A 17465-nucleotide genomic window follows, 5' to 3' on the forward strand; every position below is an offset into this window, starting at 1 on the left:
GGTGCAATGAACACAGGAGTGCAAATATCTCTTGGAGATCTTGTTTTCAATTCTTTTAGGTAAATACTCAGAAGAGGGATTGCTGTATCATATGGTAGATCTATTTTTAATTTTTTGAGGAAACTTTATACTACATTTTCCATAGCAGCTGCACCATTTTATATTCCCCCCAATAGTGCAGAGAGTTCTAATTTCTCTACATCCTCTTTAGCACTTGTTTCTGTTTCTTTGATGATGACCATCTTAATTGGGATGAGGTAATATTTCTTTTTTTTTTGAGACGGAGTCTTGCTCTGTAGCCGAAGCTGGAGTGCAGTGGCATGATTTTGGCTCACTGCAGCCTCCCCCTCCCAAGTTCAAATGCTTCTCCTGCCTCAGCCTCCTGAGTAGCTGGGACCACAGGCGCCTGCCACCATGTCTGGCTAACTTTTGTATTTTTAGTAGAGACAGGGTTTCACCATATTGGCCAGGCTGGTCTCAAACTCCTGATTTGTGATCCACCAGCTTTGGCCTCCCAAAGTGCTGGGATTACAGGTGTGAGCCACCGTGCCCGGCCAAGGATGAGGTAATATTTCATCTCATTATAGTTTTGATTTTCATTTCCCTAATGTTTAGTGATACTGAGTATCTCTTCATATACCGGTTAGCCATTTGTATGCCTTCTTTGGCGATATGTGTAGTCAAGTCCATATTTAAATTGTTTTTTTTTTTTTTGGGCCAGGCATGATGGCTCACACCTGTAATCCCAGCACTTTGGGAGGCTGAGGCAGGCGGATCATGAGGTCAGGAGATTGAGTCCAGCCTGGCTAACACGGTGAAAACCCGTCTCTACTAAAAATACAAAAAATTAGACGGGCATGCTGGTGGGCGCCTGTAGTCCCAGCTACTCAGGAGGCTGAGGCAGGAGAATGGCGTGAACCCAGGAAGTAGAGCTTGCAGTGAGCCAAGATTGTGCCACTGCACTCCAGCCTGGGTGACAAAGAAAGACTCCATCTCAAAAATAATAATAATAATAATAATTTTTTGTTATTTGGCTTTTTTACTATTGAGTTGTAGGAGTTCCTTATATATTTTACACATTAATCCTTTATTAGCTATATAGTTTGAAAAAAGTTTCTCCTATTCCATAGCTTATCTCTACAATTCGTTGATTGTTTCCTTGGTTGAGTAGAAGTTCTAGTTTTATGTAGTCCCATTGTCTATATTTGCTTTTATAGCCCATGTTTTGGTTTCATATCCAAAAAAATTGTTGCCAAGACTAATGTTATGAAGCTTTTCTCCTATGTTTTCTTCTAGCAGTTTTATAGTTTCAGTTCTTTTTTTGAGACAGAGTCTCGCTCTGTCGCCCAGGCTGGAATGCAGTGGTGCTATCCCTGTTCACTGCAAGCTCCACCTCCCAGGTTCACACCATTCTCCTGCCTCAGCCTCCCGAGTAGCTGAGACCACAGGTGCCCACCACCACGCCCGGCTAATTTTTTGTGTTTTTAGTAGAGATGGGGTTTCACCATGTTAGCCAGGATGGTCTCGATCTCCTGACCTTGTGATCCGCCTGCCTCAGCTTCCCAAAGTGCTGGGATTACAGGCGTGAGCCACCATGCCTGGCTATAGTTTCAGTTCTTGCATTTTAATCTTCAAGCCATTTTGATATGATTTTTGTGTATGGTATAAGGTAACAGTTAAATTTTATTCTTTTGTATGTGGATATTCACTTTTCCTAACACTGTTTGTTGAAGAGATTATTTTACCCCATTGTATACTCTTGGTGATTTTATCAAAGATCATTTGATCATGCATCTGTTGTGTGTTTATTTCTGGGCACTCTGTTTTGAATTCAGGAAATGTGAGTCCTCCAGCTTTATTCTTTTTCTCACTGTTGTTTTGGCTATTCTGGGTCCTTTGTGGTTCTATATGAATTTTAGGATATTTTTTCTATCTGCAAAAGATGCCATTGGGACTTAATAGGGATTACACTGAATCTGTAGAATGCTTGGGATAGTATGAACATTTTAACAATGTTAAGTCTTCCAACCCATGAACAGTGATGTCCATCAGTTTATTTGTGTCTTCTTTAATTTCTCCCAGCAATGTTTTGTAGTTTTTGGTGTAAAAGTCTTTTGCCTCCTTGATTAAATTTATTCCTATTATATTTTGATGCTATTTTAAATGGAATTATTTCCTTAATTTCTTTTTTGAATAGTTCATTTTTAGTGTATAAAAATGCAACTGAATTAGCTGGGATTGGTGGCGCGTGCCTCTAATCCCAGCTACTCAGGAGGCTGAGGCATGAGAATCACTTGAATCTGGGAGGTGGAGGTTGCAGTGAGCTGAGATCACACCACTGCACTTCAGCCAGGGCAACAGAGTGAGACTCTGTCTGAAAAAACAACAGCAACAACAACAACAAACTGATTTTTGGGTGTTGGTTTTTTTTTTTTTTTTTTTTTTTGAGACGGAGTCTCGCTCTGTCCCAGGCTGGAGTGCAGTGGCATGATCTCGGTTCACTGCAACCTCCGCCTCCTGGGTTCAAGTGATTCTCCTGCCTCAGCCTCCAGAGTAGCTGAGATTACAGGCGCGTGCCACCACGCCCGGCTAATTTTTGTATTTTTAGTAGAGACGGGGTTTCACCATGTTGGCCTGGCTGGTCTCCAACTCCTGACCTTGTGATCCACCCGCCTCGGCCTCCCAAAGTGCTGGGATTACAGGCGTGAGCCACCTCGTCCAGCCTGGGTGTTGGTTTTGTATCAGCAATTTTGCTAAAGTTAGTTCTAACATTTATTAGTTCTAACACTTCTTTTAATGTGGAATCTTTAAGGTTTTCTACATATAAAATTGTGAACGGACATTAATTTTACTTCTTCCTTTCTGATGTGGATGCCTTTCATTTCTTTTCCTTATCTAATTGCCCCAGCTAAGACTTCCAGTACTATAATATTTTGAATGGAAGTGGTGAGTGTGTGAATCCTTGTCTTGTTTTTGATCGTGTGGAAAAAGCTTTCAAATTTTCACTATTTGGTATGATGTTAGTGTTACTGGAAAGGGATCCCAATCCAGATCCCAAGAGAGGGTTCCTGGATCTTGCACAAGAAATAATTTGGGATGAGTTCATAGAGTAAAGTGAAAGCAAGTTCATTAGGAAACTAAAGGAATAAAAGAATGGCTGCTCCATAGGCAGAGCAGCCCCAAGGGCTGCTGGTTGCCCATTTTTATGGTTATTTCTTGATTATATGCTTAATAAGGGGTAGATTTGTCATGAGTTTTCTGGGAAAAGGGTGGTCAATTCCTGGAACTGAGGGGTCCTCCCCCTTTTAGACCATATAGGGTAACTTCCTGATGTTGCCATGCATTTGTTGTCATGGAGATGGTGGGAGTGTCTTTTAGCATGCTAATGCATTATAATTAGCATATAATGAACAATGAGGATGACCAGAGGTCACTTTCATTGCCATCTTGGTTTCGGTGAGATTTGACCAGGCTTTTCTTTTTTTAACTGCAACCTGTTTTATCAGCAAGGTGTTTATGATCTGTATTTTGTGCCAACCTCTTATCTCATCCTGTGACTAAGAATGCCTAACCTCCTGGGAATGCAGCCCAGTAGGTCTCAGCCTTATTTTCACCCAGCCCCTATTCAAGATGAAGTTGCTGTGGTTCAAATGCCTCTGACATTTCACTGTGGGATTTTCATAAATGGCCATTAATATATTGTGGTAATTTCCTTTTATTTCTTTTTTTTGTGGACATATATTTTTATTTCTCTTTGGTAAATATCTGGAAGTGTTATCTCGGAGCTATATGAATTTATGCTTACTTTATAATAAATTTTCCACCTGATTTCAACAGTAGCTCTAATATTTTGTATTCCTATCAGCAATGAAGGTTCCAGTTGTTCCTAATACTTGTGAACACGTGTTATTGTCTGCCTTTTTTATTTTAGCCATAATAGCAGGTATGTAGAGCTGTATCATTATGGTTTTTATTTCTACTTCCCTAATGACTAATTAAGTTAAAGTTATATCATGTGCTTATTTGCCCTTTGAGTATCTTCTTCAGTGAAGTTTCTGTTCAAATATATTGCCCATTTATTAATTGATTGTCCCTCTTCTTGTTATTTAGTAGGAGGTGTTCTTTTTTTTTTTTTTTTTTAATTATACTTGAAGTTCTAGGATACATGTGCACAACGTGCAGGTTTGTTACATAGTATACATGTGCTATGTTGGTGTGCTGCACCCATTAACTCATCATTTACATTAGGTATATCTCCTAATGCTATCCCTCCCCACTCCCCCCACTCCCCGACAGGTCCTGGTGTGTGATGTTCCCCACCCTGCGTCCAAGTGTTCTCATTGTTGAATTCCCACCTATGAGTGAGAACATGCAGTATTTGGTTTTCTGTCCTTGCGATAGTTTGCTCAGAATGATGGTTTCCAGCTTCATCCATGTCACTACAAAGGACATGAACTCATCCTTTTTTATGGCTGCATAGTATTCCACGGTGTATATGTGCCACATTTTCTTAATCCAGTCTTTCATTGATGGATGTTTGGGTTGGTTCCAAGTCTTTGCTATTGTGAATAGTGCCGCAATAAACATACATGTGCATGTGTCTTTATAGCAGCATGATTTATAATCCTTCAGGTATATGCCCAGTAATGGGATAGCTGGGTCAAATGGTATTTCTAGTTCTAGATCCCTGAGGAATCGCCACACTGTCTTCCACAATGGTTGAACAGTCCCACCAATAGTGTAAAAGTGTTCCTATTTCTCCACATCCTCTCCAGCACCTGTTGTTTCCTGACTTTTTAATGACCGCCATTCTAACTGGCGTGAGATGGTATCTCATTGTGGTTTTGATTTGCATTTCTCTGATGGCCAGTGATGATGAGCATTTTTTCATGTGTCTTTTGGCTGCATAAATGTCTTCTTTTGAGAAGTGTCTGTTCATATCCTTTGCCCACTTTTTGATGGGGTTGTTTGATTTTTTCTTGTAAATTTAAGTTCTTTATAGATTCTGGATATTAGCCCTTTGTTAGATGGGTAGATTGTAAAAATTTTCTCCCATTCTGTAGGTTGCCTGTTCACTCTGATGGTAGTTTCTTTTGCTGTGCAGAATCTCTTTAGTTTAATTAGATCCCATTTGTCAATTTTGGCTTTTGTTGCCATTGCTTTTGGTGTTTTAGTCATGAAGTCCTTGCCCATGCCTATGGCCTGAATGGTATTGCTTAGGTTTTCTTCTAGGGTTTTTATGGTTATAGGTCTAACATTTAAATCTTTAATCCATCTTGAATTAATTTTTGTATAAGGTGAATTTCCTTTTATTTCTAATTTGTTCAGTGAATTTAATAATTTTATGTTCTTTTTGCTTATAAAATGAATATAAATTCAATTTATAAGTTACAAATTATTTTAAACTTATAAATAATTATTATAATTTATAATTTATATCATCAAAGTGTCAAAATTTTCCAAATTTTAAAAATTCAGAGCAGATTGTTTTGAAAATTCAGAAAAATACAAGGACCCAAAGGGAAAAATTACTCATGATCCTATTTCTTAACTTTTCCTTTAATTTATGTTCTTTGTGGTCTCTTTCTCAGGTAATTTGGCCCAGACAAGAGCTAGGATAACAGTGGCCTCAAGTTCTTTGCCTCCACATTTCAGTGCTGGGAAAGCCAAGGTGAGTAACAGATTTGCACCAAATATAGTATGGACTGGCAGGTACTCTTGACCCAGGGATAATCTTAGAGTGGGCAGCATTAGTTCCCTTCTAGCAGCCCTCTGCCTGGGCAGTCTAGTAGAGAGATTAAAGGCATTTAGGAAATCAGGGGTTAGGAAATTGGAAACATCATGGAATCCTTACAATCCTGATTCTCAGAAAGAGCACTTAAGAACAATGCTACCTGAAAAAATAAAGTCTAAGAAAAGATAAAGCATTTCTCTGACACTACCAGCAAGCTAGTGGACCAAATGGAATCAGGGAGGAAAGAAACTACAGTGTTTCCTATTGCTCTCCTTTGCCCTCTGAAAAATGAGTTGTACACTCATCTGTGCAAAGGAGTTATTAGAAGGGTTAAAAAATATCCAGCTGTAAAATATGTCTTTAACTGTTCTATCCTTCCAGCTAAAGTTTAACAAGAGTCTTAAGGACTGCTTCGTTAATATTCATTGTAAGTGCCAACAGAGAAACACAGTTATCTTGAAGGTGTTGGAGTAAAGGCTGGTCACGTTTCTGAATTTTCTTATCTTTTGGTTTACACTGAAAATTTATTTAATAAAGAATAAACAATTTGGCCACACGTTAATACTGTTGAATAGTATTCCAAAATTGATACAGATGTACATATTTATATTTACTTTTCTTGAGAATAAAAGACTTATTTGCAGAGTGGGAACTCAAATCATTTTTTGTTAAAAATAATTTTTTACCAATATTGCTATTATAATTCATTGTAATACCCTACATTTCAACCTTGCTACTTCACGGCAAAACATTAGTACTATCTGGGCCTCTAGAAGGATTTACACAGGAGTTTCAGTGGTTCTGATGGCCTCTTGATAGCGCATGTAAAATTTTATCTGTATTTAATACAGTTGGTTCTCATTATTTGTAAAAGTTGTGCTCTCTAAAGTTGCTGCAAACTCTGAATCAGCAAATACTGAACCATTGCTTCCAGGAGGAAATACGGGGTCAATACTTAGGCCACAATATTTTTGTGAAGTGATCAATGCATAACCTCATTTTACACATGTTTCTGTTAAAAGACACCCTATTTAATATATGTTTATTCTAAATAATTATAGTCAGTATTTTAAAATATAAAACAGTATGTCAATTGCAGCATTTGTGTCATTGAACTCACAATCAATAGCACTGTAACACATGCCTGAACAATAAGTATTTTCTCCATGAGGCATATCACAACCTTCTTGTGCTTAGAAACACTAGACAGCACCACACTTGCGGGGATACATTTTTTTTTTTTATTTTTGAGACAGAGTTTCACTCTTGTTGCCCAGGCTGGAGTGCAATGGCGTGATCTTGGCTCACCACAACCTCTGCCTCCTGCATTCAAACGATTCTCCTGCCTCAGCCTCCTGAGTAGCTGGGATTACAGGCATGCACCACCTGGCCTAGCTAATTTTGTATTTTTAGTAGAGACGGGGTTTCTCCATGTTGGTCAGGCTGGTCTCCAACTCCCGACCTCAGGTGATCCGCCCACCTGGGCCTCCCCAAGTGCTGGATTACAGGCGCTCGCCACCACACCTGGCCCATTTTTTTTTTTAGACAAGTTCTCACTCTTATGGTCCAGGCTGGAGTGTAGTGGCATGATCATATCTCACTGTAACCTTGAATTTCTGGCTTCAAGGATCCTTCCACCTCAGCCTCCAGAATAGCTAGGACTATAGGTGGGCACCACCATACCTGGCTAACTAAAAAAAATTTTTTTTGTAGAGATGAGGTCTTGCTATGTTGTTCATGCTGGTCTCGAACTCCTGGCCTAAAGTGATCCTTCTGCCTTGGCCTCCCAAAGTGCTGGGTTTGCAGGTGTGAGCCACCACATCCACCCTGGGTTGGGCAGGGGTCGGGGGCAGCATTTTAAACAGCAAAATTACCAATGGAAAAATCACAAAAATGCAAAAAAAAAATGTGGTACTTAAACAGACCTCAAAAAGGACACTTGTTTATGAGAGCTGAAATAAGAAGGCAGAGCATCATCTTCTTTGACATCAGCTGGAAATGTGTGCGTCAGGGGACTGAGCATTTCTGTGAATGACCATGAAAGCATTGCAGATATTGACTTTGGGTTACAAATAAATTTTAGCAAGTAGGCAAATCCTCAGATAATGAAGATGGATTGTCTTTGTGGTTTTTTGGAGTCACTGGCTTCCACCAGTTCTAAAAGGGATTATGACACAGAAACATTAAAGAACCCCGTGTCGTATTTCCTGTCAACCCACATTCCTCTCCTTTCCTCTGTTTGATTTTTGACTACTGGACTAAGGCATATCCCCTGCCTTCCACACCCATAGTACCAGCAAAGTGTTGCCTCCCTCCCTGTACTATCTACCATGGCTCAGACCCTGCCCACATGAAAAGTGTGCCTTCTAGTGTGTGGCATATATTTACGTTATTAATAATAATGTGTATGGGTCTGATGAAAATGACTAAAGATTTGTTTTCACTTAGAAAATGAGTTGAAAATCCTAATAATTAAGGCATCAAAAATATGAAGTGCAGTAATAGCAATAAAAAATGAAACAAAACCAACTCCAGTTACTATCTGACTTATCCAAGGTAAAATTACAGAAGTGGCCCTGGATAAAGCTCGGCTCTGTAAGTGTGGGGGAAAAGTAATATTGTTTCCTCACCCATCAAAAGGTTTATGGCTGAGACCTCTATAACAAAAAGCAGATTAACAAGAGAAAAGCCTACAAATTTATTTAATATAAGTTTTAGATGACATGACAGCCATCAGATATGAAGACCCAAAGAAACAGGGAAATCTGTGTATTTTTGTGGTCAGTTGTACAGAATTATGACTGAAAAACAAAAGGGTATGATTTAATGGTATTAAACTGGAGCTTACTTAGCAAGGACTGTTTGCTCAAATTCTTCTTGGTGTCCCTATATGACATTCCTTACCTCTGGGTATTCCTTACCTCAGGTCAGGACATCTGTCACATGAGGGTCTTCAGGGGAGAAGGGAGGGAGAATGGCAGAGAGTGACCTTCCTAGGTATTCTGGCCTGCTTCAGAGAAGAGCTGTGGGAAGGTGAGAGTGGCCTTCCTGCTTCTGCTGTTTAAATGCCTAAGTCCCATGTTTGGGGATAGCATGTCCTTGACTCTATCAGCTCCAACACATGGAGCAGCACTGCACAGTCAGTTTTCAATGTGTCTTGCTTTCTATTCAGTACTCTAACGATGTTTGAGACCAGTGGTGCTGTCGGGTTTTTTTTCTTCTTCTTAAGGGATAGATGTATCACTTGATAGCAATAAAAATTCTTCTAAAGAGGCTTTGTCAAGAAGATAATAAATATGAACACTTCTGAGGCTTCAGCATGCAAATAGGGAGCGCTAACTAAGAACAGGAGGAAATTCTTCAGTTTTCATTTATTGCCAAAATCTAGATGGTTTATGGGATTCTTTGGAGTCTATATCTGTATCCAAGAGTAAACTTAGTTGACAAATGAGGCAAATCTTTTTACTGATACCGTGCTTTCAGACTTTTATTTTATAAGTTATATAAACCACATCGGGTGGTGTAACCACCCAGTGGGTTCATCTTGGCCACTGCCTAGACAGAGCCAATTGATCAAGATGGGAATTGCAATAGAGAAAGAGTAATTCACACAATGCTGGCTGCGCAGGAGACCAGAGTTTTATTATTACTCAAATCAGTCTCCTCGAGTAGTCAAGGATTGGAGTTTTGAAGGATACTTTGGTAGGTAGGGGGCAAGTCAATCAGGAGTTCTGATTGGTGAGGCCAGAGATGAAATAATAGGGAGTTGAAGCTGTCCTCTGGGGCTGAGTCAGTTTCTGGGTTGGGGCTATAAGACCAGATGAGTCAGTTTATTGATCTGAGTGGTGCCAGCTGATCCATCGAGTCCAGGGTCTGTAAAATATCTCAAGCATTGATCTTAGGTCTTACAATACTGATGTTATCCCCAGGAGCAATCTGGGGAGGTTTAGAGTCTTGCAGCCTCCAGCTGCTTGACTCCTATACCATAATTTCTAATCTTGTGGCTAATTTGTTAGTCTTGCAAAGGCAGTCTAGTCCCCAGGCAGGAAGGGGATTTGTTTTGGGAAAGGGCTGTTATTGTCTTTGTTTCAAAGCTAAGCTATAAACTAAGTTCCTCCTGAAGTTAGTTCGGCCTACACCCAGGAATGAACAAGGACAGCTTGGAGGTTAGAAGGAAGATGGAGTCAGTTATGTTAGATCTCTTTCACTGTAATAATTTTCTCAGTTACAATTTTTGTAAAGGTAGTTTCAGTCCCTTTCTTTGGGTTTTGTAACACCTTATTCTTCAGATGTGGGCTATGAAGATGGAAAAAGGATGAAGACCACTCTAACATCTTCCTGCTGAACAGGGGGCATAGTGGGGTTAGGTATTGACCCCTAGGTAAGAGGAGTAGAACTGCTTTGCAGCTGTCTGCATGTACTCATAGGTGCCTGGTTGGGGTTTCAAGGCTTACATGACAAGGGTGTTAGTATCCTCATCTATAGTTTTAATGCATTTATAGAACAACATACTATATGGTAAATAATGCATTCTGGGATAAGCAGTGCAATTCCAAGTTTTAAAAGTAAAGATTTGAAAGCATTAGTTTGGGGACTTGTAGCTCACAGATAATTTAGAATTTAATCCAAATTGCAGAAAATAATAAAAACTCAAGAACAACTAACAACAGGTGTGCGATAGTTTTTTTTTTTTTGAAGTATAATTTTTCTCTCACGAGTCCCCAGTTTTACTAAAGATAAATCATAGTAGGTCAAATTTACTTGCAAAATAAATTTTAGCCCTATTATGCTTGGCTTGATTATTTGCATAAAGTCCAGTAGGAATAATTATTTGCCATATAGGATCTTTTAAAATTGGCTTTGCTGAAACTTTGTTCTACAAGGAATCTCAGATTGTACTTTTAAAGCCTTGAAGCCCAGTCACAGATTTATGTATGCCTGCAAACACCTTTATGAGTTGAGTGAATTTTCCTCCTCTGAAGGTCCTAAGGTAACTTGGTGCTCCTGGGCCTGTCAGAAAGTGACATTCTTTATTTACTACAGATCAGGAACCCAGTACACGGACTGTGTAGACAAGGTATGAGGCCAGCTTTCCCTTTATTAGCTCTATAAGTCAACTTTGATTATTTAAAGAAAGCATGCCATTCCAGTCAAAGCCTGGTAAAATAACCAGTTTCTCCAGTTGTGCCCTGTTACAAAAGAAATGAGATTTTTATTGCAGTTATGCAAAAAACTAGACTGCCATAAGTTGAGAATACTCACAAATAGTTTCTAAATTCTGGAGGAATCAGGTAGAGAGAAAGCAATATGCTCCAAATTTCATTCATGGGAGTATACTTTACTCAATTGCTAAATGTTCTAAATAACTCAAAAAAAAAGTTTTCTTGGCTGAACACAGTGGCTCATGCCTGTAATCCCAGCACTTTGGGAGGCTGAGGTGGGCGGATCACCTGAGGTCAGGAGCTTGAGACCAGCCTGACCAACATGAAGAAACTCCATCTCTACTAAAAATACAAAATTAGCTGGGCGTGGTGGTACATGCCTGTAATCCTAGCTACTCGGGAGGCTGAGGCAGGAGAATTGCTTGAACCCAGGAGGCAGAGGCTGCGGTGAGCTGAGATCGCGCCGTTGCACTCCAGCCTGGGTGACAAGAGCAGAACTCTGTCTCAAAAAAAAAAAAGAAAAGAAAAAGAAGAAGTTTTCTTGACTCTGAAAAACAAAAGGATTCGCAATGTTTATCACATCAGCTCTCCATAAGTCCTAGAAGTTTGTTTTGTTTCCTCTATTCCAATAACACAATTTCTACATTATCAGAGACCTGCATTCAAGAGAACCCATCAGAGCCCTATATCTGATTATAAACTGCCTTCTGAAAAGGATCAAAACAAGACAACTGTCTGTGGATGACAAAAGTCTTAGGACAGCCACTATTAAAGCTACAACTGACTAGGAATTTTGGTTACTTCTGTGGCACACAACAATTTTACATAATAATTAAAAGGCTTAATATACATTAAATTATATCAGAATTATAGAAGCTTCCTATAATTTTGGAACACATACAAATAACATATTTATAAAAATACAGTCCAAAGAAAGCCAAACATCATTTCATATTTGACAGTGTTTCCTGTGTGATTTTTATATAAGAAAGCAAATACATCATTTTTGCACTTTAGGGGACCTAATATCTAAAAGATTAATTAGGTCAGAAAAAGACATACTTTATAATTTAATTTTGGAAAGTTTGTCACATATCAAAGGTTTACAACACTGGATATCACTAAATAGAATCCCAGGTCACCGTAAGTCATTCATTTAGCCAAAATGATAACCCAGAAATTTTAAAAAGGAAAAGACCTGTACTCTGATAGAGAGGAGACTCAGCTTTCTAGACAACAAGATCCTATGAAGACAGCATGAGGCCAGCTGAATCTGTCTCTTCTCTCTCCCCTCCCTTTTTTTTTTGTAGTTTACTCAAAAGGCAAACAAGATTTGTTTTCATTGTCTCTAATATTACATAAAAATCTTTTTCAAAAGAGAAAACTAAGTTTCATGTTTGCTTTAGGGCATCTTTAATGCTAAAGCTAGTTTTTAATAAAATTTTATAAATTTATGCAGTTTTAATTAGTTTGACCATAAGGTAAGATTTTCATAAACTTCTTATAACTCTTTACAATTTTCTGTTAAACAGATCAATTTTTTTAAAAGAAAACCCTGCTATTCAGACACATGGGCCCAGATTCTGGCTCCACATCAGTGTGCTTTTATTTTAATGTTTGAGCTATAGAAAAATACTAAACAATTCCCTTCAACTCTTAGCCAACTTGCTGCTTCTCACAGAACTTCCTTTATCAGATCAACCCTTCACAAACCTTTCTAACTTGCTTAAACCTTCAATTTTGTCCCTTTACTCTTTTAGTTTAAGACATTCTTTAAAACCCTCTTAACTAGACAAAATTACATTCCCTTTAACAAAAACCATATTCCCATGCCTTCTTATAATTTCCCACCAAAACCACATTCTACTTTCCTTCTATACCTTGCAACCTTGCATGTAAAACTCTTTTTCCAGTGGACTCAAGTACATGTTACACTATTAACTTTTTGCATCTTTCATTTTTGGTGAAAAGCCTGATAAGTAAATGATTTTAATATATACTAGCTGTGGAGCCTAGGACACCAGACAGAAGTACAAATAAGGTTTGATTCTTCCTAGTACAGGTAGGCGGCATGGCTTACGCCACATGTCCCTAGGCCTTATCTAGAACCTAATGACTCCAAAGTAGGTAAGTCAAACAGTTTTCAAAAGTCAAAGAAGCAGTTTATTACCTTAAAGCATTTTAACAAACCTAATATCTGACCTAATTTAGACCAAATGTTTTGACCAAATGTCTAAATTTTGAAGACATTTTTATTTTACCAGTAATCTTTAAAATTGTCTTTATTTCCGAAAGATTACTAAAGTCACATGAACAAAAACTTAAAGTTTCTATTTTTCTAACAAAATATTTGATTTAAGCCCTTATTTTTACCCCCAATTGTTCAGAGCACTTTCATATATAAACATCACACAAACAGACATGAATATACACAGAAAAGAAGATCCAGTAGTTGTCAAGATTTTCATTTGTCAATAGTTGGATTACTGGCTTCAGGGTGGAGCCCTTGGAGGAATAGGGTGAGGAAAGCTTGCAGTTTTCAGGGCCTAATAAGCAGGCACAGCTGGAAGGCAAAAACAGATCCCCAAAATTAAGGGTCCCATTTTTATATCACATCCTGGATCCCCAAAAAGAGGAAAACACTATGGAAGAAGACAGTACAACGCTTTTACTGTGCATTTTATTGCAAGGCAACCCAAAGCCAATCGGCCCATTTTGTAATCAGCCCATCTACATGGGAGTCTCATCTCTCAGTGGAAGGTGGGGATGTTTGCACACCTTCCAGATGGCCAAGCATGCTTCTCTAATCCAAGCATGCAAAGAGCCAAGTATCCCTCCATAACAGCCAATATCCCTTAAAGTTGCTATACACCAAGGCTAAAGGCTTTCCCATAATGCAAAGTAATTTCTGATACCCCCAAAAGTAAAAAAAAAAAGGTTCAGGTAACATAACGTAAAACCAAACAAAGCCTTAGATTTTGAGAGAGATCTATTCACTTTCAATTCCTGGGGTTCCATGAGGAAAACAGGTTTTTTCCAGAATGGGGTCTGTGGTGCCACCTCTGTTTTTCCCCAGGAGTCCAGGCTTTTGAAATTCTTAGGTTCTCTCATGTGGGCATCAAGAGCAACAAAAAGACAAAATGGAGAAAAATAATTCCGTCAACTGAGAAGAAAAGCCTTTTTCAGAAAAATATGATTCAAGAAGAGGAAAAAGATAAAGGCCTTTTAAGTATGTATAGCTTGGATATCCATTTTAATTAAGCTGATTTTAACAGTAGAGCTCTTTTGTTTTTTAAAAAAACTTTTAAAATCTCTTATTCCAGACTCCAGCCAGGAAAGCCAATATTTTTGGCCTTTGAATTCTACCACAGGTAAGCTCCCAGTGAAATTAATAAGTTTTAACTAAGGTTATAACTTAACCATGGATGCATAAAGTGTCTCAAAGAGACAGTAAACAGTTTCTTTATTTACAAGATTTAGAATCTACCCAAAGATAATTGAGAGAAATAAAAAATTAAGACAGGAAATCAGAAGCCGTCCATAGGGGAAAATAATCAATAAATGGCAAAAAGTTACACAAATAACAAACCAGAAAGGACTGATTTCCTAAGCGAAGAATTGAACCTAGGCTGCCATTGTCAAAAAAACAAAGCCTTAGCTATGGAACTACAACATTAAGCATTTCCTATTGTTCTTCCCAAAAGAGGCCTAGAGTAGCCAATTTTGAGCTTGCAAAGGCTTTAAAGTGCTTAAGATAATTTTTAGGACTAGCTATGACATGAACCACAAAATCCTTGTCCTCTGGATGGCAGAGACTAAAATAAAGTATCCCCACATGGTCACATGGTTAAGATTTTAAGGACATAAAACAACATGAGAAACTTCATCCGGTATTGGTTTCAGGGGCCTGCAGCAAAGTTTGTAACTGACAAGCCTGCCAGGCTGGCTTGAAAAGTAGGGGTTTAGGGGTCCACAGCCCACGTTCTATCCTGTGGCACTGCCGCTCCATTACAGAAAGACAAATTCTTTGCACAAAGTACACCAGATTTGCTGCAGCCTAATAAGACGAGTTTCACAAATCCTTTTTTTCTATTAATCATACCTTTGCAGAAGAGACTAACAGTGATGTTTACCATTTACACACACACACACACACACACACACACACACACACACACACACGAGAGAGAGAGAGAGAAAGAGAGAGCGACCAACTGACCAGAAACCTGGCTGGTAAGAAATTCTTACCCTTTTTGACAGCATACCAGGTACCAGGTTTCTGGGCTCCCTTTCTCTGCAACTTTCAGAAGAACAGAGCAGCTTTTGATGACCCTGCTCACCACACCATAGCTGTGGGGACCAAGCCCCATTACAAAAGAAAATGATCACTTTCTGTTTTATGGAACCATAGGCAAAAGCTTTCTAGTTTTGCAAGATGCTGCCCGATAGTCTGCATGAGGAACTGAATTAACATTTTCCATCCCAGTCTAAGCAAAATACCCGTAACAAAACAGACACTAGTCACCTCATTCCACACCCAGTATTGACCTAACAAGGCTCAAACTTTCTCCCATTGGTCTCTGTCATCTTTGATCCACTTAAGGTGAGGAGGGATGACCTCCAACCAGGAATTCAATGAGTGGTCTCTGGGCAAGACGAAGAGTGGAGAATCACAGAGTCAGGCCTGTTGAGCTTTCATCAGGGCTAACCGAATGCAATTACACTTACAGAGGGTTCTTCAAGTTAGGCCTGCTGGACTTTGGTTAGCAGTTTCTTCAGAGATCCATTCCACGCATACAAACACACACACAACAAAGACAAGATGGACAGAAGGCCTTCCAAATCAAGATCCCTTGCCAAGAATTCCAAGAGTATTCCTTCCAAACTAACCTCCTATTCTCCATCTGAGAAATCTCCCCAGAATCTTCCTGATTGAGGAGAAATCTCTGGAACCAAGACTCTTCTTACTCATTAGGGAGGGCCAGCTGAGACCTTGAAGGAGCCAAACCTATCAGGAGAAGGGAGGAGGTGTTGGCAGCTCCTAGAATACCCACCAAATCAGACACCGATAATGGGGCTACAGCTACAGACACTCCAAGATTGGGCTACAGACAGAGACACACCCTGCAATACGGCTCCAGTTACAGACACCCTGTGGTGGAGCTACAGACAGACATCCTACCATGGGGCTACAGTTATGAAATGTCTCCGCAGGACTATTTCTCTATTGCAATTAAATTCATGCACATTGGGCTGGCAGTGACCTGCCAGTAGAGACAGTGCCCGAGTCAGCCCCTAATCCAAGAGAACTAGGTGGCTGCTTGGGCTGGCCTCTGGATCCATCAAAGGAGAGGGGCTACCGAACCACGGGCAGGTAGCCACAAAGGCAATCCCAGACCAGCCCCCAAATTTGTAACCACCTAACGGGCTCACCTTGCCCACTGCCTAGACAGAGCCAATTGATCAAGACAGGGAAATTGCACTAGAGAAAGAGTAATTCACATAGAGCCAGCTGTGTGGGAGACCAGAGTTTTTTTTATTACTAAAATCAGAGAATTTGGGGATCTGAATTTTTAAGCATAATTCTGTGGGTAGGGGGGACAGTGCATTAGGAGTTCTGATTGGTCAGTTCAGAGATGAAATCATAGGGAGTTGAAACTGTCCTCTTGCACTGAGTCAATTCCTGGGTTGAGGCCACAAGACCAGATGAGCCAGTTTATTGAGCTGGGTGGTGCTAGCTGTTCCATCGAGTGCCGGGTCTGTAAAATACCTCAAGCATTGATCTTAGGTCTTACAATACTGATGTTATCCCCAGGAGCAATTTGGAAAAATTTAGAATCTTGCAGTCTCCAGCTGCATGACTCCTAAACCATGATTTCTAATCTTGTGGCTAATTTGTTAGTCCTGCAAAGGCAGTCTAGTCCCCAGGAAGGAAGGGGGTTTGTTTTGGGAAAGGGCTGTTATTGTCTTTGTTTCAAAGCAAAACTATAAATTCCTCCTAAAGTTAGTTCAGCTTACACCCAGGAATGAAAAAGGACAGGCTGGAGGTTAGAAGCAAGATGGAGTCATCAGATCTCTTTTCACTGTAATAATTGTCTCAGTTATAATTTTTGCAAAGGTGGTTTCAGTGGCAGTATATAATGTTTAAGAAATATGGTTTAGGAATCAAAGTGGGTTCAGATATAGGCATGGCCATCTACTGGCTGTAGGACTCTGGGAATTCTACCTAAAATATGTTAGTCTTAACTTCCTCATATGTGGAATGGGAAGAATAATATTATTTACCTCATAGGTTATTTTGAGAATTTAGTGACATAACATAGGAAGTGTTTAGTACAGTGATTTCAGATAGGAAACACTCAATAGATACTGTATTACTCAAGTTTTGATAACTATTTAAAATTCCATGTGTGGAGCCCATATGTATATAGAAGCTTGCTCAACTGCTGTGGTGTAGGGACTGTAACACAATTTGTAAAACTTACTCGTGACTACTCTGAAGGCTAATCATTCACAAGGAACCAAACAGGATGTTTATCATGTGGGCAGAAAGCACGCTTGCTCAGCTC

The 17465-nt window shown here is 39.4% G+C and overlaps 1 protein-coding gene across 11 annotated transcripts in view; it reads left to right on the top strand.

Annotated features, from left to right (window-relative positions):
* The window catches only part of MYO3B (myosin IIIB), a 477021-nt gene that overhangs the window by 260229 nt on the left and 199327 nt on the right, over nucleotides 1-17465 (top strand). For all 11 annotated transcript variants that reach the window (NR_045682.2, NR_045683.2, NR_045684.2 and 8 more), the window contains one exon: nucleotides 5592-5671. Coding sequence is in view for 8 of the 11 variants with exons in the window: in NM_138995.5 (NP_620482.3) it covers nucleotides 5592-5671 (80 nt within the window). In the remaining 3 variants the exon portion in view is untranslated. The remainder of the gene's footprint in view (nucleotides 1-5591; nucleotides 5672-17465) is intronic.

This window comes from Homo sapiens, chromosome 2 (genome assembly GCF_000001405.40).
Source record: "Homo sapiens chromosome 2, GRCh38.p14 Primary Assembly".
In the NCBI taxonomy this organism is placed as follows: Eukaryota; Metazoa; Chordata; class Mammalia; order Primates; family Hominidae; genus Homo; species Homo sapiens.